Genomic DNA, 24450 nt, shown 5'->3' with positions numbered 1-24450 from the left:
CATTTAAGCAAGAAAGTTTAATTAAATATGTGACATATTTAAATAAGTATGTGACATGGTTGAATATGGAGAGGCCCACTATTTAGCCAGGAAGTAAACTTTGACAAAACATCCAAGTAATTCAGTAACTTCATAGTCACATCATTTTTCAGGGATTTAAATGTATATGTGTTTGGCTTTTCTGATTCATGTCATTACTCTTTCAATGATAGAATGGACATGGTACATTGCGCTGAGAGGAATACCTCATTACCTTTCACGTTCTCTGAATTGCACAGTGTTGCCTAAAAATATCTTTTCACCAGAAGAGCCTAGAACAGCACTCAAAAGAGAGCCGTGTTTGCCCTTACACTGATCTTAGTCAGTAGACACCAATGGATTATTGAGCTGCATGCTGCTCATAAATCAACACATATTATGCTTATATTGTCCTGCATTTTAGTCTTTCATCTATGTACTAAGGGACATTTAATGTTAAACTAATGTAAGAATTGTCTTTTATCTGTATGGTTTGTTTCGGATTATTTTCTTTAGTATATTTACCAATGACCAACCTCTTCAAAACTTCATACATACTGATGATCTATGTAACGTATCCAGGGAAATAATTTTATTTCTCTCAAGAAAAAAGTTACATATTCAATGAATCAATATTCAGACTATGATGAAAATCAACTTTTTGACAACATAATCATGCTGTAGTTGAAGATTTTATTGGTGCCACAAAGAAGTCAATTCTAAAATAGATCTGTAATAGAAGCTCACTGGCTATTCACCTGAACTCTGTTCACATAGGAGGTAATATTGGTTCAAGTATTATTAAAGCACATGAAAAGATAAAAAGTAAGCCTTATGACATAAAATTAATTCCAGAAAATTGACTAGTTCTAGGTGATACATTAACCTGATAATTTTGAGAATTTCAGTTGTTGTCTAATGCTAAGGTATATGAACTCGATAGACATATAATTCTTACGTGGCAAGAATATAGCTCCTAATTAACATTTGAGGGATAACAGGAAATTCTACACCAGATACCAAAGGGATAACAGGAAAATCTACACCAGATACAGATAAGCAGGATGGAGGCACTAGCTAATAGCGCTGAACCTAGGATTAGAAGATCAGATTTGATCTTACACAAACCAGTGACTGTGATACTACATATGTCTTTGAGCCCACATTTCTTGATCTTTAAAATGAAAGCAAAAACACCTCTTTTACAGGGTGGTGGAGACAGTAATGGGAAATAATAGATGTAGAAATGCTTTGTAAATTCTAAAGTGGTCTAGAAATATAAGATACTATCTCTTCTGTTTCTTGTTAGTGCCATCCCGTAAGCTATCAAGGCATAGTAATAATCCTGGAAAGCACAAATTTAAGGCAAAACATTTGTCAAAGAAACCTGATTGGAAGAAGCAATATAAACAAGTTTAATGAACAGTCTTTCCTATGTTTCCGGATACAATGGTAAGTAAAATATTACCACAGATATTAAATAAAAGCTTCTATTAAAAAGGCTGTGCTAAAATGCACACAGAGCCTAAGAGATCCATTCCATAGGAATTCATACAGTCAAGCCTAGCAATGTCTGAACTGTTATCCAAGCAAACTGTCTCAAAAATTAATCAATTGATAAAAAAATTAATCAATTGGAATTACTATCACAACACCAACACAGGTGAAGGTAGTGGCATGCTGTTCCTGGGGTATCTACATGTCTGCTAGATACCTGTTAATATCCAGTTAAATAAATAATAGGCTGCAAAAATGGAAAAAGCCATTGCTTATGTCAGTGATAGAAAAAAAAATGTCTAGAAATAAGGAAAGAATTAGTGATAAGTTGAGCACATGGAATAGCTACCACTTTAAAAGCTATGTGGACTTAGGCTTCCCAGAAGTCCCAGACCTGTCATTCTCCTAGCTACTATCACTCCTTACACCAAAGCCGTCAGGTTTGAATAATAGAAAAGCTCTGGATACCGAGCTCACTGAGAGGGAGGCAATTTAACTATCCCTCCATAGTCCCGGTTTTTTCTTCCCTGACAGCTGCAATGTCTTCCGAGAATGACCTTCCATAGCAATGATGAAAAATGAGAGTTGAAGAAAAAGATTGTCACAAATTCAAACTAAAGGATTGGTAAAATAGTTTAATAAGGTAAGCGATATAATTTTAGAATTGAAAACCATATACTCCAAACCAGAATTTTCTTCTAAGCCTCCTTTAGTTGGTTAAGACTCTACCATTCTTGGCAGTTACTTAAGCTCAAGTATATTTGATCACCCTTATTATAATCTTTAAATTCTACAAAATAACAGTCACTTGGATAAATTGTGGTATATTTATATACTAGAATATCATCAAACAATGAAAATAAGTGAGCCACAGATACATTCAACAGCATGTATGAGTCTCATCAACATTGTTAGGTGAAAGAAGTTAGACATAAAATAATATATTTTATGTAATGACAGGTATATAGAATTAAAAAATAGTCACTCCTGGTCTACGGTGTTAGAGGTCAGTGGAGTTTCCTTGAGAGAGAAAAAAAGGTATGTTCTTTGAAAGGGCTGAATGGGCTTTCTGATATGTTGGAAATGTTTTATTTTGTGATCTGGGTAGTGATTTCATAGGAGCATTAACTTTGTAATAATCTATGAAATGGACACTTATCTTTTATGCACTTTTCTGCACTTTAAAAAATTATGTAAGTTCTTAGTTTGGCCTTTAAGGTTGACCATGATTATTTCCCAATGTGTTACTCCAACCTCACCCTCAAGTTGCCTCCCTAAATATTTTATTCCAACTATGTTGCTTTATTCATGCATCTCAAACAAGGTTGTATTATTTTTTAACCCTGTTCTTTTGCTTTTGCTGTTTCTAACTAGAAGTCATCTTCTGTCTCTTCATATCAAAATCCCAACCATTTTTCAGAGCTCAACTATACGTCTTTTATGTAGCCTTCCCTCATTTCAGCAAATGTTCTTTCTCCATTTTCTGAGTTGCAACGATCATTTGAACCTCTCTCATCAATTTGATTTTAATTACCCCTGAATTAAAAATAAGTTCATTTGTTTTATTATGTAACAGGTATATAAATTATTGGAGAGCTGGGAACTATATACTACATATCTTGAAATTCTTTTCCTTACTTCACAGATTAGCTGTACCTGGTGCTAAGTGGATAATTGAATGAGTCTGTGAATAAATAAGCAAATAAGCCACTGAGTCAATTATTTATAAACATCTATAATTATTATACACCTCTGAGGGGCCCTTGGATCAAGTTTCATCCCAGCCCATGAATAAGTGTTGGTAAGTCCTCCAGTGTCCTCTTGGTTCTGGCCAACAAATCAGTAGATGAGTGGTGGAAAGTTATACAATATGTTGTACCTTACTACACCCCAAAAGTGAGAGAGAAATAGACTGAAAGTCTAGAATCAGTAAATATACTACCTGCCCAAGACAAAATTGTGAAATGAGAAGTTGATCCTTCTCTACCTTTCCTCCAAGGATCATGCCTTTGTCCAATCCCACCTCCACACTGTCTTTCTCCTCTTCCTCCTTTATTTTCAGAGGTCAATAGTGACATCTGTTGATTGCTGTATTCAAGTTCTCTAAAGAAACAGAGCCAAGAGGATATGCGTATGCAAATTTCCATGTCAAGGGCAAAGCAAGAAGGTTATTGCAGGATCTACTCTGCAAGGTTGCCAAAGGCCTATGTTCTTGGCACATGACTGAGGCAAAGCTTCACCAGATGTCCTTATACCCACACTACTGCCTTAAGGGATGGCAGGCAGCCTGACACCTTTTTCCTGAAATCAGCATCCTCTGCTGAGAAAGGTTAACATAGGTCTCACTTTAAAGGAGAAATACTAAAAGGAATTGTCTATTATCATAGAATATATATTGAAGGGTGAATTTGGAGCCAAGAGGCAATAACTTGATAACTGGCATATAGGCTATGAGTATCAGTTATGAGAGCCAATAAATTCCCTTTTGGTTTTAGATCTTTTCAGCTGGATTTTCTGAATATTGTACAGAAAGACTGTTAACTGACAAAAGGCCCAGTCCTCATACCACCTAGAGCAAAGCAGAGTTTTTCGTTGAATATTCTTTTCTGAGTCTTTCTGCCACTATTTTCCCTCAAAATCTTTCTGCCCTGGTCCTGTTTTTTTTAGTTAGAATTCTACATATTGTCTTTGATATATACGTTAAAAGCCTGTCAACAACATATTTTTATTTTAATAATAGAATTATAGAAAATGAAGGCTTTAAAACAGAAGATTGATAGAGTTAGGTATTTTTAAAAGTTAATAGAATATCTTAGGACAACAGGCACTTTGGTTTCCTTCAAATAATTAAGCTATAATCTATAATAACAAAACATAGTTAGAATTTTTAATTCAATTAGGATTGCTCTCAAATCTGCCTGGTAATTCTAGGATTGCACCTTGACAACAAAACATGGTCCCAAAAGAAAGCATTTATTTTCAGTAAAAAATAAAAATACCTAAGTAAGCAACTTTAATAGGGTTTACATGAGTTTCAGTTAAAAGTAAGATATCTAATGCAAAAGACAATTGCTTTCTGTGTTATTTTTAAAAACAGAAGTGCCAAAGAGTAGAGGAATTAAGAAAGTAAAAACTTTACACAATGGTAAAAAATGTGTTAGTGGCTAAAAAAATTACTTTATGAAGTAGACTCCCAAGGAATGTATAAAAGTTTCCAATTAGACAATATTGGTTCTTTGAAAAGTTTCATTTTAAGATTTAGACTAACATATATCTTTTTTTATTCTTGACTTCAGCAATTTCTTCTAACTGCCTCAGTAGTCTTGTCTTCCTTGGGTTTTATAACCACAAAGTTTATTATTAAAAAGTTTTAGTTCACCTCAAATACTTTCTGTGTTATTTGGTAAAAGTATCTAGGGGAAAATTCACGTAAGAAGAGTAAACCCAATTTAACAGAAAACATGAAAAATTGTTGATGAAGGGGTTTCTGTGTGTGTGTGCTCAGCCCAAAGGAAGCATTGGACTGGCTCTGGGAGTGGGACGCAGCGTGAAAAGATGTAGTATCTCCTCCTCTGCCTGCTTGTGTTGGATAAGTGGATCATTTTATTGTCAGGTTGGCTGAGACTGAGCATCAACATTATACAGGAAAGTCCCAAAGGTATGCAGCAGAGGGGATGCTATACCAGTCTCCTTCACTTGATGCTATTAAATGAGCTCACAGTCTGTAAGATAAAAGTTAGATACATTGAAGGAAAATAAGTACCTAGTTTTATAGCAGTACTTTATGTTCAAACTCCTCATGAGTTTATACATGTTTCTATAGAGAGACTGCATCTAAAACAACGCTCTTAACAAATGAAATTTACAAGAAAAAACAAGCTCTGTGAATTGCTATACTGATGAGTGTTTTTTTCTTTCAATAACAGTAGTACAATAGTCACTTACAATGTCTGAACATTCTAAGCCCTAACTATAGATATTATATTTGATTTAAAATTTCATAAATATGTTCTATGCTCATCTAGAAATTTTTTCCTGTGTTACACATAAAGAACATTCATCCATTCATTCCACAAAAACATATTTGTTACCTTCTATATGCCAGGAAACCATGATTTCTGCCTTTGTAAATCTGTCTAGCATATGAGAAAGAGTTTTTGCTCTAAAAATCTGTGATTATCATGTGTTAAATGGGCACCACACTTCAACCAGGAATAATAATCATTTTTATATAATGATACAATTTCCAGAGTGCACACACGCATACATATATGTATGGAAAGAGAGAGAGATAATGGTAATATTCAATATATTTACCAACTGCTACAGTACAGGTTCCAACAAACCTAAATGCAAATGGAATAAGATTGATTTTGGAAAAGATCTATAGAATACAGAATCTCAGCCATTATGTCCAGTTGCAACTATGGTTTAGCAAGCTCCCACTGATCCAAAGACAGGACCTTAAACTGGGACCTTTTCCCCATCTTCTCACTATAATATGAGAACTTAAAAGAGGTTATAATATTGGAAATTAGAAATTGATCATTAATACATATTTATTACTTTCATACTATATGTCAAAAACTTTGCCTGGTGTTCAATCGAGACAAGCCTAGCTTCAGGTTACCAAGGAATAAATATAAAATAAACAATAAGCAGGGGGTACAATGAGAGAATACTGATTGTGGTAGAAGCATGGCTGAGGAGGAAGTTGTAGAAAGAGAATGGAAAAGCAAGTAAAAAAGGAGATCATTATTAAAGCAAGAACTTGCAAGAGGGAGAAGGTTTGAGGTCAAAGGCAAGAGGAAAGGGGTAAAAAAGGAAGAATGACTATGTTGAAGGAGGAAAGAAAATAAGGATGGATAAGAACTGTAAATCAATTTAGAGTTGCAGGAGAAGTAGAATAAGTCCAGAATGATAGGAATCTGGAAGGAAAGATAGAGGATCATCCAGAATGAAAAGAATAGATGAACTCCAGGAAGAAGTTATAAAGGAAAATTTTCCTGACTGTAACAACTATTTCCTCTGTGAAGTAGGGAAGGTAATCTGCAAAGAATAAAGAGTGCAGCATTAAGTACAAAGTATAAAAAGCTGTAAAAATTTTAAAAAGAAAGCGTCATAGGAAATAGGTAAGTATCTGTAAAGATTTCCTAGAAAAAGATTAAGAGTCCAACAGATGTCAGAAATCATAAATGTGTAAGGCAGACAGACAATCAATATGGTTATGTGATTTGCTCCAGGATTATTCAGTGCCTGGTTTCAGGATCAGAACAAACAGATGGTTGGGTTATTCTAGAATCGAGGATTAGGAATAATGGAATGAGAAGAAGGTCGTGAGAGTGTTGGGAAATAAGAGCGTCAGTGAGAGAGAGGTTTAACTGAATGACCATGGATTGTCAGCTGGAGTGAATAAGGAAATGAAGCCAGAGAAGTCTTATTGATCAAGAACATACGAAACTGACAAAGTACAGAAGAATCAATGAGAGTGAAGAGCAGTCATTCCCCTGAATGAAACCCCTCTGGGTATTCTGCAGCCTGGATGATAAAGTGCCATTACTTCTTAAAACATACAAGACTGTTTATAATCTTGCCTGCCTCTCAAGCTCATTTCTAATTCCTTTTCCCAAATGCCTCCAGGCATTCTGTATGTCCTGTCAGGCAGACCAAATATGATGCTTTCTGTCTTCATGTTACTGCTGTTCTTTCAAAGGGCTCCTCTTCTTCTCCTAAACTTCCTGTCCTCTATTCACTAATGAACTTCTCAGTTTTCAAGACCCACTTCAAGCATCTTTCTTATTAAAGTCACGTGTAGTACTTAGTATGAAAAAAAATGGCCGCCAAAATTTCCTTCCACCCTTATACAGTCATGCCATTACTCCCACCAAAAAACCCCTTGATTCTGGGCAAACAAACAGAATGCTGTAGAACTGACACTATTCCAGTTCCAGCCTAACCCAACTGCCATATTGCGAAGAAGTTCAGGCTATCTTGCCTGGAGTATGAGATACCATGCAGACAGAAAATCATAGAGAGGAGAGATTGCATATAGCAACTATACCTCAGACATATGAGTGAGATCTTCTTGGCCATTCCTGTTCATCCCAACCACCAGATGAATGGAGGTGGAGCCCAGTCAACCCACAGAATTATGGGAAATAAGGAATCATTTCCATTTTAAGCCACTATGTTTTAGGGTTTAGTTATTCATTTCTAGATAAATGATATCTCTCCCATTTTCAACTTAAGTGTAACTGTTCAAACTTTCCACTGTATCATACTACTGCATCTATAATATACCTGTATTATTTTACTTATCACACTAGGATTGCAAAATTGTTTTTACATACCTGCTCCCTTCCTATTCTGTGAGATGAAACAATGTTTCAGTGCTAGGGTATGTTTACACTATGTGTGCGCATATATGTGTCTGTTGTGTGAGTCTGTATTCTAAGTCCTAGCACACAACATACAATAAGTATTTAATAATTGACTTGAACTACATTAAATATGGATTGAGTTAGAGGAAGGTAGAAAGAGAGAGCTATGAGGTTCAGTCATAAGAATTTTATGGCTTATTTCATAAAAGGAGCAGTTCCCTGATTCACACGGAAACATGTTGGAAGTGAAGTTGGCTTAAGGATAGTCTAGGAATTCAGGTGGGGTGGTAGAATCATCAAGGAGGTGGACTTGTGGCCTACTACAATTACAAAATTTGTGTGGAATGGAATATGGTGATATCCAATGGGAAGAGATTGTGAACTTCAGAAAAAGAGAAGCTGTGAATGACAGCTTTCCAGTGAAGAAAAGGCTCTTAAAGTAATAGTAAACCATTAAGAATATGCAGTTTCAACCTTCTCCCCAATGCATGTTCAAGGGAGAAAAAGTCAGTCTCCATTTCACAGACTTACGTGGAAGTTGTACTTTAACTAAAGGAAGTTTTCCTTTAAGTCATCTGAGTGCACCTTTTCAGTCTCCTCCAGCGACCCCTTTCGTTCCACTGCCACTGAAAGCTTTCTACACAGTCCTCTGCCATTCTCACTCTACATCTCTTCTCTGGGCCATGTGAGCCACTCCCACGGCTTCGATCATTACTGGTATCTCCTACTGCTGAACTTTCTGACTCCATTTCTTTTATGAGCGTCAGAACTATTATTTACAATTCTCTTCTGAATGTCTCCAGTGTTTTGCCTACCACTTATGTAAAACTCAAGATGTTAAGAAACGAACTGATTATCTGATATTCAAAACATGTTTTTTTCCTCCCATATTTCCTAGTCCAGTAAATGGCATACTGGCCACTCCATGAGTATAGAAAGAAACAGCCAGCACACTGGTTAAGAGCTTGGATTCTGGAATTAATGAAACAGAATGTGCTCAAATCTGGCCTTCATAAATTACTAACTGTATGGTAATTCTAGACTGTTCAGGCTACTGTAACAAAATACCAGAAGTTGGGTCACTTAAACAACAGACATTGATTTCTCTCAGTTCTGGAGGCTAAGAAGTCCAAGATCAGAGTTCCACCACATTCAGTTTCTGGTGAGGGCCTTCTTTGTGGCTTGCAGAAGCTGCCTTCTTGCTGTGTTCTCACACAGAGCTACTTCTCTGGTCTCTTCTTATAAGGGTACTAGTGCCATCATGAGTACCTTTATGAACTTATCTAAACCTATTTACCTCTTAAAAGCCCCATCTCCAAATGTCATTACATTGAGAGTTAGGGTTTCAACATATGAATTTTGGGGGCACACAATTCAGTCCAAAGCAGTAACCTTGGCAAATTACTTAACTTTTCAGAGATTCATTTTTCTCACCTGTTAGAATCTTCAAAAGCTTGTGAAGAGGATTAAATAAATGCTTATCCAAACCCTCAAAACTAATCATACCAACTAGATCTCTTGAAGCCATTCTTACCTTCTCCCTTTACCTTAGCACGCACCTCTTCCAAGCAACTGATCGCCAAATTGTTACTTCCATTTCTAAAGTGTACCTTAATACGTGCGTTTGTCCATTGTCACTTCCACTGTGCTAGTATAGACCTGAACATATTTCAATCAGACTATTCTTGACTTTGTCTAACCCATCTTTCACACCATTGCCAGAGATAATGTTTTTAAAAATATAAATCTGATCATATCCTTTTTCTTCATTTTCAATTTTTTTTAGTAGCTCCCTGTTTCCTAACTCTCTAGCCAAACTCTCTAGCATCTGATTTTTGCAGTCTTTCTCTGAACTACGTTTCCAGGGCCACTCTACATCATTTCCCACCATTCCTTGTATTTAAAAATGTCATTCTGTGAACATATTCTTCTGCCTTCATGTCTATTTCCTTTACTAAATCCTCACCCCTACTTTTCCCCGAGAATTCCTGCTCAAACTCCAAGACCCAGCTCGAATGTGATTTCCTTTCTGTTATCTTCCCAAAACCCCCAGGTGACATAGGTTGCACCCTCATCTGTTTTCCCACAGGGCTGTATACAAACCTGTCTAGGCTTTATCACACTATAGTATAGTTATTAATTTACTTGTCTATCTTCCCAGCTAGACTCTGAGCACTTCCTCAGAGGCAAGGATAGTGAACTATTTATTCTTGCATTAAAAGTCCATAATACAGTTCCTCGGAAATACTAGTCAGTATATGTAAGATGCTTGATAAATGTTGGTTGAAAGATTGAATAAATAATCTATGTAACTTTAATGGTGCCTGCTGTATATTAATTAAGTTCAAATTTTTCAGGTATAAGTCCAATTTTTCAGGTATATATAAAAAGTAAATCATTAAAACTGGGCATTGAAAGAAGTAGATTATCTACACGTATTTTTCCCAGCTTTAAAATTCTATAATCTTATCGTGAACTGAGCTAAAACTCTTCTCCAGGCATATAGGATTAAAGTCTTGTCTGAGACAGACTAAATTTGTAGATAGGATCTAGTGGGTTGTTTAAGGTATATTCCCAATTTATTCATTACATTAACTTTTATAAACTGTATTTTGTGAATTTTATACCTTTCAATTAAACAAAATTAAATTATATGCAATAGCTGATCTTTCAAAATGGTAACATGGTGAAGAAAGTGTTTTTTTCTGAAACCTTGTCAGCTTGAGTGACATGTGAGTACCCAGCACTAAGCATCTGTTAGGGAAATCTTATTACTCTGTGTCTGTCACTAGAAAATGGGAACAAACGTCGCAAGACCTACATACTTAAAATGTTATGATGTGTTTTTAAAATTGCTTTCCACATAAGGTCTTTTATTTTATTAGAAAATTATAAGCAAACAAGGCTTGTTTAATTGCTTTCAAAGTATAAGCACATTTCACATCAAAATTGTATCACTTTCAACTGCTGACTTGTGTGAGAAAGCTGTCAGGCCCTGGTGCCCAAGAAAATAGTGCACCATGGCAGAAATTTCTTACTGAAGGATATAATGTATGCTCAATTAAACCAATGCAATGTGTGTAATGGTTTACTTCTATCTTAGAACGTACTGCTAGCTTTCTGTTCTGGAATCAGAATTTTCCTAATGCCTGGACTTTTTGTTGAATCCCATGTAAGAAGTGATGCAGTCTTTGAGTTTATATCTCAGGGAAGGTTGGGCTCTTTTTTTCTCCTTTTAACATTCAAAAATTCTCAGATATATTACCTTCTCATTCTGATAATCTATATATACTCTGCTCCCTTTCCATAATTCTCTTAGCTTACTAAATATCTTAGCTAACAATTAAAGAAATTATGCATGAAATGCTAAAAATTATAGCCAGCTTTTCAGAGGAATCAATTGTTGGTTATAGTGCTATTTTTCTTAAAAAACATTGCCAAATCCTTTATTTCTTCAAATATCATAGATATCTATATGTGCTTCAAATGAATGGGAGGTAATAAAATATGATGGAAAAATCCTGGAAAATTCCAACACACCTTATATTGTTTGTTATTTGACAAGTTTATAACAACTTTGCTTCTCTTAGCCAGCAGAGAGCACCCATAGAGGTGGTAGATGATAACTTTTCCACAAAATATCGCAATAAACAGATAACATTTAAGATATATATTTTCATATATATTCTAAGAAAAGATGACTGCTAAACATGAATTCCCCATGATAGAAGGATATTGTATGTTACTAAACTGCCATCTACTGGATTTGTTCACCCAGTACACAATATCATCTATAAATTTGTATTTTTCAAGGAATACATGACTTTTTTTCCCAGCCATTTCCTGACTTTCTTTCTTTCCCTAATTCTAGCAATGTGTGCTTCTAATGACCAGGAGAAAAAATTGCTTCAACTAATTATAGTCCAACCAAAGTCATTCACATCATTTAAGAATTAGATTGATTATTCATAGTGTCATGAGGACGTGTCAATTTGAGACGAGGACGTGTCAATTTGAGACAAGAAGAGGTTTAAAGAGGCTTACACTTTTCAGAGTGCCACCTGTCTCCAAAGGGCACATTCATTAAGAAGCTCCAGGTGCAAGTTGTGGAAGCAAAACAGCATAATGAAGTCCTTTCCCTCCTTGTGCACCTTTTGATTAATAACATCCTCCTTCAGTTCTAGCAGATTGCACACCAGTGTATGCCACAAGAAACCTAAAATGCAAGCCCACTTTTCTATCCTTCTTTGAATAGAGTAAATCACCATTTATCTATGACCAGAATCAAAAGAATTAACAAAATAAGGTATCTGTGGCACAATCTACTTTTATAAGAAAAGAACAGCTAATACGCCGACTGATAATATTTACTTGATAACAATGTATAATATGTGTCACTGATAAAATTCCACCTAATCTATCTTCTCTGTCCTATATTCACACATGGAAATGCAATTGATATTTGGCTGGGTGCAGTGGCTCACACCTGTAATCCCAGCACTTTGGGAGACCAAGGCGGGCAGATTACCTGAGGTCAGGAGTTCGAGACCAGCCTGGCTAACATGGTGAAACCATTTCTACTAAAAATACAAAAAATTAGACGGGCGTGGTGGTGCGCACCTGTAATCCCAACTACTCAGAAGGCTGAGGCAGGAGAATCACTTGAACCTGGAAGGCAGAGATTGCAGCGAGCCGAGATCACGCCATTGCACTCCAGCTTGGTCAAAAAGAGCGAAACTCTGTCTCAAAAAATAAAAATAATAATAATAAAATAAAAAATGGAGAAAATTGGCATTTATTGAGTACTATTTACTAGACTTTTTTTTTTTTTTTTTTTGAGACAGAGTCTTACTCTGTCACCCAGGCTGGAGGGCAGTGACAAGATCTCGACTCACTGCAACCTCCGTCTCCCAGGTTCAAGCGATTCTCCTGCTTCAGCTGCCCATATTTACTAGACATTTTCATGGGCGCTATCACACTTTATCTACACAGCAGCCTGGTAAGGTAAATACCGTTGTCCTCATTGTCATCACTGAATGTGACTGAAGCTCAAAGTGATAATAAGAGCTAACACTTATTGACTACTTAATATTTTCCTGGCATTGCCTTTATTACTTTAGAAAAATTGACACAATTAATTCTCAAGACCACATTATGGAATACATGTTACCACTGTCCTCATTTTATTAGAGGTGACTCCAAGAAGCTAAGTAACCTGCCCAACATTACACAAATAATATGCAATGGAGTCTGGATTTGACCCGAGCAAACTGGTTTCAATGCCTGTACCTGTCAACTTCAACATTATGCTGTTTATGAGTGTGTGTGTGTGTGTGTGTGTGTGTGTGTGTGTGTATACTTCAGTATTAGATGGGCTATATTATTGTTTTGTTTCTGAAAATTGGTAATTGTGTATTTATTGTCAGGCATTTTACATGTATTATCCATTAGAAATACACACATATATGTAATATTTTCCCCATCTTACTTTGATAAAACTGAATTTTGGAGAATAACAATAATAAGAATAATCACAGTAAACACATTACACATATCACATGCTAGATACTCTTCATGAGAAGAGTTTTAAACATAGTACATATTTAATACTGACAACAACAATATAATGCACTGTTATCACTATTATACAGGTGAGGAAAAAGAAAGGTAGCACCTTGACCAAAGTCGCAAGGCTAGCAGAAAGCAGTGCAAGAAATCTAGTTCCAGACTCATGATTTTATCCACTACTCTAGACTTTGAAACAATTTAGAATAGTCATTCCTTGTTTATTGCAGCAAATGTTTGCAACACGCCTTAACTATAATAGCATTCATCACAATCAAACATTTTGTTGCATACCAAGTAAAATAATTATGCACATTTGGTAAAGAGTAAGAAGGAATCAAGCCTGTACAGTTTCACATTGGTCAGGCTTATGCATAGTTTCAATAATGGTAAAAATAAAATTCCTCTCTTCATTTATCCTACAAACATCGAGCATTAACCTTGTTCCAGGTGCTTGGGTAGTGAGAATAATGTTTATTTTATTCTGCGAAGAATTGGAGATACATAAAAACAAATAGGTAATTGCAACATAAAAGGATAATTGCTAAGAAGAAGTTTTGCTTCCTAAATCAAAGCCAAAGCTACAAAACACTTTATGTTACCTGGTTTCATGGCTCCAAACGAGGTCATACACAGGGCAAAACTAGGAAAAGAATAAAAAGACAGAAGAACATTCTTTCATAAATACATAAAATAAGGTGCTTAAAATTGTTATAATAGTTGCAATTTTATTTTAAATTCTGTTAACGTTTATGTCTGAATCACAAGTGGAAGTTCAAAATAGCTTTATGATATATGTATTCCTTGTTTCACATCTGATATTTTTCTTTGAGTACTACTCCTTCCTAGTGGGTTTGCCTGGTCCTGAGTTCCCAGGTCCTCCCAGTCTGGCTCATGCCAAATTCAAGCTATCATATTAATCAGAATTTTTAGTTGCAGGTGACAGAACCCCAGTGCAATGTAGCTTAAGCCAAAAGAAAGTGTGCTGACATGACTTAGGTGACTGGGAAGTCCAAGAGATAAGCATGCCTCAGATAGAGCTATATTCAGGGATACAAATGCTATATTCAGAGTTCACTTTTTTCCCTCGTCCCACTTCTTTCTCTTTAATTCTCTCCATCTATCAGCTCTTATTGTATCTACTTGACTTCCTTTTGTGGGTAAACTTTCTCTATATAGGTGGGTCTCACATTCACATATACCAGATCAGCAACTCTAATGAAGAAAAAACTTCTCTTTCCCAATAATCCTAAATGAATCCTCGGGAATATTCTGATTGGCCTTGCCTGGTTCATATATTCAGTTTTCAGACAATCACCATGATTAGGTGAGCTAACACACAGAATTTGATGCTCGAAAAGGACTCACAAAAATCAGAAATAGCATCAAGCTTTCCTAATAATTTCAGGAGTACAGGCAATCAAGAGGCAAAGACAGAGCAGAGAAAGTCTGGGACATTCTGTGTGGCTTTGCCAGATGCTTCCTATCCACTGACCCCCAGTGATTGACTAGGTCTCTGTACGTAGTTTTGCTGATTATTACCTTACAGAGTAGAGGCGTGTAATTTATAATACATCTCCATTTTATACCTCAGAATGTTATAAAATGGCATGCCATTACAAGACATTCTTCAGAGAAGCCATCCATGTCCCCATAAATCAATAGATTCCAGATTTATTTACTAGAAGTAATCCTTATCCAGGGAGATCCTGCTAAGGGCTTTCTGTAGAAAGATCTCCTTCTGTCTAAAATCATTATTCTATTTATTAGGGTGTCTAGTCAGAAAGGAGATTAGAATAGATTACCTGCCTTCCTTTCTTTTTCCTAGTGGTGCCCCCATAGGAAAGGAAGTTAATGGTCCACAGGGCTAGCTGCTTTACTCCTTCCCCCCATCAGGAGACTGGACATTCTGACTGAACATCTTGAGACAAGAATCTCAAACTGTGCTCGGGGGTAAAGGAAGAACCATGATTGACAGGCCCCCAGAAGCACCTGGACTGTGAGATGGCGATAGAAAAGCACGTTGAGTAGATATAAACTGCGAGTGCTCTTGTTTATCATACTGTTCCCGTCCAGACAAGAGACTTTTAAGAGTTCTAATGATGCTATAACTTTCCTGTTCCTAAACTTTGTCTATTTCTCTCTGGTTTCTAACTGTGAAAAACTCTTCAGCTATGTTCTGTGACTCACAGATCACAGCAAAAGAACAAATAGTGACAGCAAAGAATGGAAACAACTATGCCAAATCTTGGAGCCCGCAGGAAAGAAATGCAAAAGAATGCTGAGTAGGGCCTCACAATGAACCCTTAAGAGGAGAAAGAATATCCCAAGGGTTTTCCATCTAGGCTTATGTCCTCATAACCATTTTCTTACAGAAATCTAAAGTTCTAACATAGCAAATGAATTTCTTTAACAGGCAGGGTACACAAACAACTATCCTACTGACCTGATAATCCAAAAGAACTTTTTATTTGGCCAAGACAACATTTATGTTTAGGTTGAATTTGAAAGGCTTTGAACAGCTCATCACATTTTCCCTCATTCCCTAGTGTTTTACACAGGCCTGCATCATTGATTTATGTTACTGCCTGAACCCTGTAAACATTTGAGTTTTTCTTTCATGGTTTAATACTTGATTTAACTGAAAATCCCTTTATAAGAATGTAAACTTTAGGCAGGGTGCGGTGGCTCACGCCTGTAATCCTAGCACTTTGGGAGGCCAAGATGAGTGCATCGCTTGAGATCAGGAGTTCCAGACAAGCTTGGCCAACGTGGTGAAACCCCATCTCTACTAAAAATACAAAAATTAGCTGGGAGTAGCGGTGCATGCCTATAACCCCAGTTACTCGGGAGGCTGAAGCAGAAGAATCGCTTGACCCCAGGAGGTGGAGAGGTGGAGGTTGCAGTGAGCCGAGATCGTGCCATTGCACTCCAGCCAGACTCCGTCTCAAAAAAAAAAAAAAAAAAGGACACTTTAAACTGTTTTTAGTTATTTACACTAGGATGTAAACAGTTTTTCAACTGTTTTTCACTGTGGGGGATGAGAGTTTTTGAAGAAGGTAAGACTGAAGGAATAACAGGATGGGGACTAGGGTGAGCCAGATGCCTAGGGTTCAACATTTAAGGAGGCGCTCATTCTCAAGTGATAACTCCAGGCTCAGCACCTGAGACTGCCTCCTTAAATGTCATGCCCTGTTTGTGTTATTTGCCTCGCTCTTATCCCAGTCCTTTAAGGATAAAGTTTAACCAGCTTTGGTTTCTGTTACTTGTGATGAAGTATCCTTAATGCATTTCCCTTCCCCACCCATGAACTGAGGGAGTCATTCTTCCTGGGAACACCCATAATATCCTCTGATTATACCTATACTATACTTACAACACAGTTTTCTCACTATTTACACATCCATATGCATCGGCACTCTGTGCGCTCCTTAAACAAAGAGACTGTGACATAATCTTCTTTATAGCTGCAATATCTAGTCCTGTACCTGTTGAGTGGGTAAGTCAATGAATGAATGGACAAATAAATAAATGAGTGTGTTGTCAGAATTGAACATGCCATACCTGCTGTGGCATGGCACAGGTGTGTGAAATCCTTCGTCAGTAAAAACATTTTATTTTTGCTATAGATAGATGGCAAACTTCAACCTGCTTTTATTCTAATTGTGATATGATTTTTCTCATAACTTTGTATGTAGCATTTGAATTGTTCCAGTTTTTTATTTAAACATACGTGCTCAAGAAAGAACTGCAGTAGATTTGTGACTGACACCGTATATATGCTTTTGCCCTCAGTCTCCAGCAGGGCCAGCCTCCTTGACCTAATTAGACTTCTCACTCCCACATGGCTGGTAAATACTATAATTAATTTATAAAGGACTCTGAAACACCAACTGGCAAAAATTCCCTATTAATGGTTTCTACAGAATGAAAAGAGCATTTAAGTTGTAGGAGAGTTGTTGTTGTGTGTGTGTGTGTGTGTGTGTGCGCACATGTATTCACATTTTTTAATGTAGTGAATTTCTAAGAATGTCAAATCATAACACGTACTAAGTAAACAATGTTTAATAACGTCTTGTCATTTCTTTCAGCACATTTATTTTAAATTTGAAAGAAATCTGTGTGACAAAATATTCTTAGAGATGTATATTTGGGGTATGTGAGACTTGAGTGTCCATGAATACTCACACACATCCCATAAACTATGCCATTCTTAAAATAAAGTTAAAGAGAAAAATATAGACCATCAGTTTAAGAAGGATGTCTCAATGATTTGAGAAAGCAACAACTGTAGTGGCCTTTGGAGTATTTGCCTATTCAGAAGCCATGGTTGGCAGAATTTCAAGATGGCTCCCAAGATTTCTGTGTCCTGGTGTACATGCCCTGTATTATACCCTCTCTGTGAGTGTGGGCAGGACCTGTGAATACAATGAGATGGCACTCCTTTGATTAGTTTATGTTATATGGCAAAGGGGACGGAACCATTTCTCCTCTGATTACATTATATTATATAAGACTTTATAGCAGTAATAGTTATAGTAGTAGTATATAGTAGTAATGGTAGTGGCAGCAGCAGCAGCCAACTGGAGAGAAATTCTCCTGCTGGCTTTGGAGAAGTAAACTCCGTTTTGAGATGGCCATGTAATTAGGACCTGAGGGCAGTCTCTAGAAGCTGAGAGAACCCCCTGGCCAACATCTCCCAAGAAAATAGGGACCTCTGATGTAAAGTTTCAGGGAACTAAATTCCACTAACAACCTGAATATGCCTAAAAGCTTCAGATGAAATTGCAGCTCCACTTGGCACCTTGATTGCTGCCTAGTGAAACCCTAAGCAGATAATCCAATTAAGCTATGCCCAGACTTCTCATCCACAGAAACTGAGAGATAACAAATACATGTTACTTTAAGCTTCTAAGGTTGTGGTAATTTGTTACTTGGCACTAGAAAACCAATACAAGAACCAACTGCTTTTTCTTTTCTGTGGGCACTACCCTTTACTCCCCTTGTCCCACAGGAGTGCCTCCTAGCAGTCAGGTCTATACATTACACCATGATCCTGAAAAACTGACATAGCTGATTGGATAGAGGTGCACACCTGACTCAAGCCAGAGCAACTAGAGTCTGGAAATTTGAAGACAGGGCTAAGAGGCTCCAGGTGGGAATTTCTTGAATGGAAGAGAGATAGAAACTTGAACACTTTAGCAACACTATCTTCTGTCCAGGGTTGCCTGTAGATATTAAAAGCCCTGAGGAAATGTTCGAGGAGAGAGAGAATCTATCTATAGCAATCATCTGATTACAAAAATAATTATAAAAGTCATGGACCCATGTGAGATGGAGTGATTTGCTGTTAAAGAGTCAAGGTAAGGAAAAGCTGAAGAGAGTCAAGGTAAGGAAACATAGCTACTTATTGTCCAATCGGTGAACATAAAAATTTTTTCTAGTTTCTTGGAGTCACCTATTTGTATTAATTATTACTAAAGAAACCATTCCTGTTCAATTTCATATCTACCACTGCAAGGAAAAGGTAGTAACACTATTATCATTCACAATGCAATGGCTCTTCAGGTCCTATTATAATTGGAACCGTATAGATCTTTTTGCCTCTGCAGTTCCATAATGCCATTTATTTAATGCTGATTACAGCATTACTCATATTGCTTCAACATCCATTGTACTGCCTGTGAACACTGGATACTAATGACTCAAATGGTGTTAGTGTATTTGTTCATGATGACCACAAACACAGGTCTCACACAGAGAATGCAGGAAAATGCAAACAATTATTCATACTGTGGTCATGTTAAATTTATTGTTTGGAATGTATTAATAGCATTTATTTATAGAACTTACTGCATTAACATAGAATGGCATATCTCTCAACCATGTCCTCTCTTGAATTGTCTAGACCTTAATCACTGCATCCCTAGAATGTGACTCTTTTAAGGTTGGCTGCAGCCCTGCTTTCCATATATAGTTATCAGTGGTGAAGATAGATGAGAGGCCCTGGATAGATGAAAAGAGCCATCCCATTTGGGCAACCAGTGTCCATCACTTGTTCATCAAGGCTTACAACCAACCCAGAAGAGAATGTCACCATGTTTATTAGAGGTAAAAAAGACATTGATTGAAATGGCCCATTGGCTTTGTGTTGCTACAGTCTCAAAAGCCCTGAAAGGAGGCAAGCATTGCCATGATAAGTAGTGTCTGATATGTGACACGGAGCTTGCAGAGGGGTGGTGTGACTGCCCTAATGCCAGCAGCAGGGTGACGGCAGGAGACCCCAGGATAAAGGATGTCTGCAGACACACATACCTTTTTCAAGTGCTCTCCACTAGAGGTGGTTCCTTGGTCTGACCAGTCAGGGAAGAGCCCACATACTGGCTCACACAGTCAGCTCCAGACCAAGGATGCATGGGGGGACAGTGGTAGCCCAGAGCACTGAACTCATCCTGTGTCTGATATTAGTGAAAATCACCCTCAAACCACTGAAAAAGCATCATTCTGGTGGCCCAAACTTGTGCGATGAAAGAAATAATGCCATGAAAGAAATAATGCCCCAGCCAGTGGGAGCTTTGGCCCTCCAAGTTGCTCTCCAGGAACTGGCAGGGCCATCTGGCCCTAAGCCACCCTACAGGTGCTAGTACCAGAGATCCTGCTGCACTGGTGGACCCTGAGCATGTTAAGAGGGCAATATGGTCAGGAGGGCCTGAAGGGAAGAAACAAAGAAGCCAATAACATTTTCTTTAGGCTTAGGACTGTCCCACCCAACAGGTCCTGCTGACCTGGCTGGTCCCCACCACCAAAAGCAATAGAACATCTCAGGACTTCCACTGTCCAGGACCCACATAGTACTACATTTTGGCTCCATCCTGCTGAATGGTCCAAGACACTCGAGGGGAATTAGGGCACCTCAAGGAAGGCCAGGTGCAGGACCAGGCTAGGAGCCCTGGTTGCCCAGGTCTAAGGGCAGTATTGCTTTTTTTTTTTTTTTCAGTCTTCTGAACTAGGTAACAGAAAAGCTAGTCTGAGGAAAGAATAACGCATATGCAGAACAAATTCAGCAAAGAGACAGAGAAAGGGTGCTGCTTGAATAGAGGATAGTTTCTTTTAGGATATTTCTGAAACTGCATTCCTGCTCTGGCATTCCATCAAACACCACCTTCTCTTTATAATATGCTCCCCCTTTTTGTTGTTTAAGTCATTTTATTTTTATTTTTGTTACTTGCAAGCAGAGTGAGCCCTAATGCAATATTTAGAGCCAGATTCTTAGCTTTGTAGGTTCAGAAACTCAACTTTACCATTTCCACCAGAGCTAATCTCCTGGGGACCAACATATTAAGAGGACCCATAAACAACTGATATGCATTTCAGAGTGCCAATTTCTCAATCTATAAAGAGAGCTTAATCCAGATGAACAACTTGTGTGGATAAATTCACTCTGGGAATTTCACCACAGTAGGTTAAGTGTGCTCAGGAGAGAAGACAAATTATCAGAGGGCTGTTTGGTGAGCATATAATAAGAATAAAGAGAATGGGTAGAATTTTTCTTTCAAATTAGGATAGCTGAAATGAATTTCTTTTGTAGGAATATTTCTCTTTGAAAAATCAGCTAAAGTCCTTGAACTCAAATAACCTCTTCTGGTCATTATCAGATGTATTCACGCATTTTGTTCATTATCCTAGACTTACTATAGAGGATTTTTCTCTTGACACATAATTCTCCCAGAAAAATTTTGCTAATTACAGTTAGTACAGTTGATTAACTGTTGTTGCATTAACTGCATGTCATCTACCAGCTTTGGCATCTATTATTCCTATTGACCCCATGAAGTCACTATCTCCTCTCTACTCCCAAGGGTGATCACTATCCAAGATTAGTTTGGCTGCTTTTGAACTTCATGTAAATGGAGTCATATAGCATATGCCATTTTGTGTCTTGCTTTTTTCAATTCAAGACTGTATTTGTGAGTGAAATACTGTTCAATAATCTGAGTGTAATTTGTTATTCTTGCTACTGTATTACACATTCCAACTGTGTAAACATATGACAATTTATTTATCTAGGCTACCACTGATAAGCAATTGGGAAGCTTCCAGTTTGGGCTATTTTGAATAGTACAGCTCTGAACATTACTATATACATCTTCAGTGAACATTATGTGCATTCCTGTTGGTAATATACCTAAAAATGGAATTTCAGGGTCATAGTGTACGAAAATGTTCAGATTTAATATATTCCGACATTTTCCAAAGTAGATGTATCAATTACTTTTTGCAATGTATGAGAATTACAGTTGCTCTACATGCTTTCCAACACTTAGTATTCTCTGATTTTTCATTTTAGTCAGTTTGATGAATGCATAATGGTATCATATGGTTTTAATTTGCATTCCCCTGACTTGCAGTACCAACCAAGACATAGAAAGCCCACAATAACCTATCTTTCCTAATGATTACAGTGAGAAACTCAAGACAAAATACCAAAAGCAACTGCCTGAAGACTCTGGAAAAACAAAAACAAAAACAGGTAAATTGGAGTGGAGAATGAAAACCTGGAGAAATGTTCTGTATGTTTGCTTTTCCTCTTTTCTCACAGCTTTTGACCTAAGGCCCAACACCTAGTGAAACTGTGGTGACAGGAAAAACCGACAGAAACCTGTATGTCTTGCCAGAATGGGGATAGGGGGCTTTTGTGAGCCAAAAGTTAGTCGGGGGAATACTTAGCTCCCCCTCTTCTGGTTTTTCTTTCTTTTTTTTAATTTCTCTCTCTCTCTCTCTCTCTCTCTCTCTCTCTGGGCATTGGCCCAAGAGTGAGGCCCTAGGCTTGGGTATCTACAATACTAACAGAAGCTCTGTTTTTATGGACAAAGGAAGTAGAAAAGGAGGCCTTTGTGGTCTGAAGAGTGTAGAGGGAATCCACATTTTTTCTCTCTCTTTTCTGTCACTGCTTTGTCTCAGAATCTGCCCTAGTCAGCTGCTATGCCAGGCTGCTAAAACTCCAAGAGGAACCTCATATTTCTGGTGAGAGGACCTTGCGAGACAAAAGGAGAAGAATGTAAGAGGAGAGAGCTAGAGAAGAGGATCCCCTAATTCTATGTATGAACCTATACAAGTTCTGTGTTCACACCTAAACTGAACACGTGCAGAACAAACACAAAATAGCATAGCAAAACTGAATTTCAATTTAAACTACTGCTAACATCCCCAAATAATCCCTGAGTATTGTAGGTATAGGACACAGCAAAGCCTTTGAAAACCCAGCTGACATGGAACCAGTACTCATAGAAGATGAGACCGAACTTTTGACCTGAACCAAATTGGATCGATTGCCTTCTAAAACAAAAAAAAATCAACATTCCCTAAAGGCTTTTAACAGGACTCAGTCTATGCAACATAATGTTCAAAATGTCCTAGATAAAATCCACAATTACACAGTATAAAAGAACTGGAAAAATGTGACCAACTTGCAAGGGAAAATATAATCAACACCTGCTAACTCCTAGATGACCAAAATGTTATAATACAGATTTTAAAGCAACAATCATAACTAGAGAGTAGTTGAACAATTTCTCTCCTAAACATAATCATACTTGCATAAAGACATTTCAGTCAATGATGAACCACATATACAAAGGTGGTCCCATAAGATTACAATACCATATTTTTACTGTACCTTTATATTTAGATACACAAATACCACTGCGTTACAACTGCCTACAGTATTTAGTACAATAAGATGTACTAAATGCAGGTTTGTAGTCTAGGAGCAATAGGCTATACCATATAGCCTAGGTGTGTAGTAGGCTATACCTGCTAGGCCTGTGTAAGCACATTCTATGATGTTCACACAACAGCACAATTGCCGAAAGTGGCATTTCTCAGAACATATCCCTATCATTAAGTGAGGCATGACTGTATATGCTGTATTCTAAAAAAAATTAATGCATTTATATACCAGAATCTATGCATAAGAATGCTCATACTGGTGTTGTTTGTAATACCAAGCCTGAGAAACAGAAGGAATAAACTGTCACAAAACCACAAAACGGAATAGTATCAGTATACATCAGTGCAAATAAAAGAATTACACCTATACACTTCTACATGCAACTACCTAGGATTAATTTAGAAGCATAATGAACAAAAAAAGAGTACAGAATCAACTATGCTTACACAGCTCATAAAATTAAACATACATGTATGTTAGGTTTTGAAGGGAAGGCAAGGATTAAAGAAAGAGAGGGTGGCTTAACAACAAATACAGGATTTATGTCCAGCATAAGACCTACAGAGGTGGGAGACCAGCTTAATGCCAGTGCCCGTTGCTTCTTACAGGCTGGGGTGATTTATAGGCCTGGGTGGGAGTGGTCTGGGGGGCCATGGCCTGCTTCCTGGGAACATGTTGATAAGGTGTTCCCAGGACGAGGCGGCTCTGGCCCTTGTTCCAGTGGAATGTGGTACTTTCTCCCAGCAGAGTATAAGAGGCAGCCTGTTTCTCACGCCCGAACCCCGTGGAATGTTTCACTTTGACTAAGGTCTGCAAAATGGCAGGGGGGCTTACAAAAATGGTGCAGTTTGGACTAACAACGTACATAAATTTTTAAAAAGCAAAAGAATAAATCCCAAATATGGGAAAGTGTTATCTGTGGAAGAAAGTAATGGGATGGTATCAGAAAAGACACTGGTAATTTAAACAGTGTTGACAATGTCTCAGTTTTAAAATTACCAGCTGGTTCCCATGTATAAGTTGCTTACTTATCTGTTACACCTATTTATGTATATATAAAAATAGGTTTCCAAACGACATCCCATGTGTATGAAATAACAGAATTTTTATGCCTTATTAAAATAATTTCTCTAAACACTTGAAGAGCCCGAGCCGCCTCTTACCCTAAACGAACCCCACGCCCCTGAATTGATCAGTCACTTCCGCCTCCACCTTTCCAGCTCCACCTAAGGAAGCGGAAGTACTTTACTCTTGGGTCCT

The 24450-nt window shown here is 37.4% G+C and overlaps 2 long non-coding RNA genes across 2 annotated transcripts in view; one reads left to right on the top strand and one right to left on the bottom strand.

The window, feature by feature from the left end:
• ZRANB2-DT (ZRANB2 divergent transcript) overlaps nucleotides 1-24443 on the bottom strand; it is a 156400-nt gene extending 131957 nt beyond the window's left edge. Inside the window, exons 1-2 of the long non-coding RNA NR_046217.1 lie at nucleotides 24354-24443; nucleotides 14063-14103 (exon numbers count right to left, since the gene is read on the bottom strand). This is a non-coding gene — a long non-coding RNA (ZRANB2 divergent transcript). The remainder of the gene's footprint in view (nucleotides 1-14062; nucleotides 14104-24353) is intronic.
• On the top strand, nucleotides 16811-19443 carry LOC105378795 (uncharacterized). Its single transcript, XR_001737669.2, has 3 exons — nucleotides 16811-16959; nucleotides 18683-18823; nucleotides 19369-19443. It is a non-coding gene; the product is annotated as an uncharacterized LOC105378795 (long non-coding RNA).

The sequence above is a fragment of the Homo sapiens genome, chromosome 1 (assembly GCF_000001405.40).
Source record: "Homo sapiens chromosome 1, GRCh38.p14 Primary Assembly".
Lineage (NCBI taxonomy): Eukaryota > Metazoa > Chordata > Mammalia > Primates > Hominidae > Homo > Homo sapiens.
Note: the sequence above shows the minus strand (reverse complement) of the source record. Positions and strands in the feature narration are given on the sequence as shown.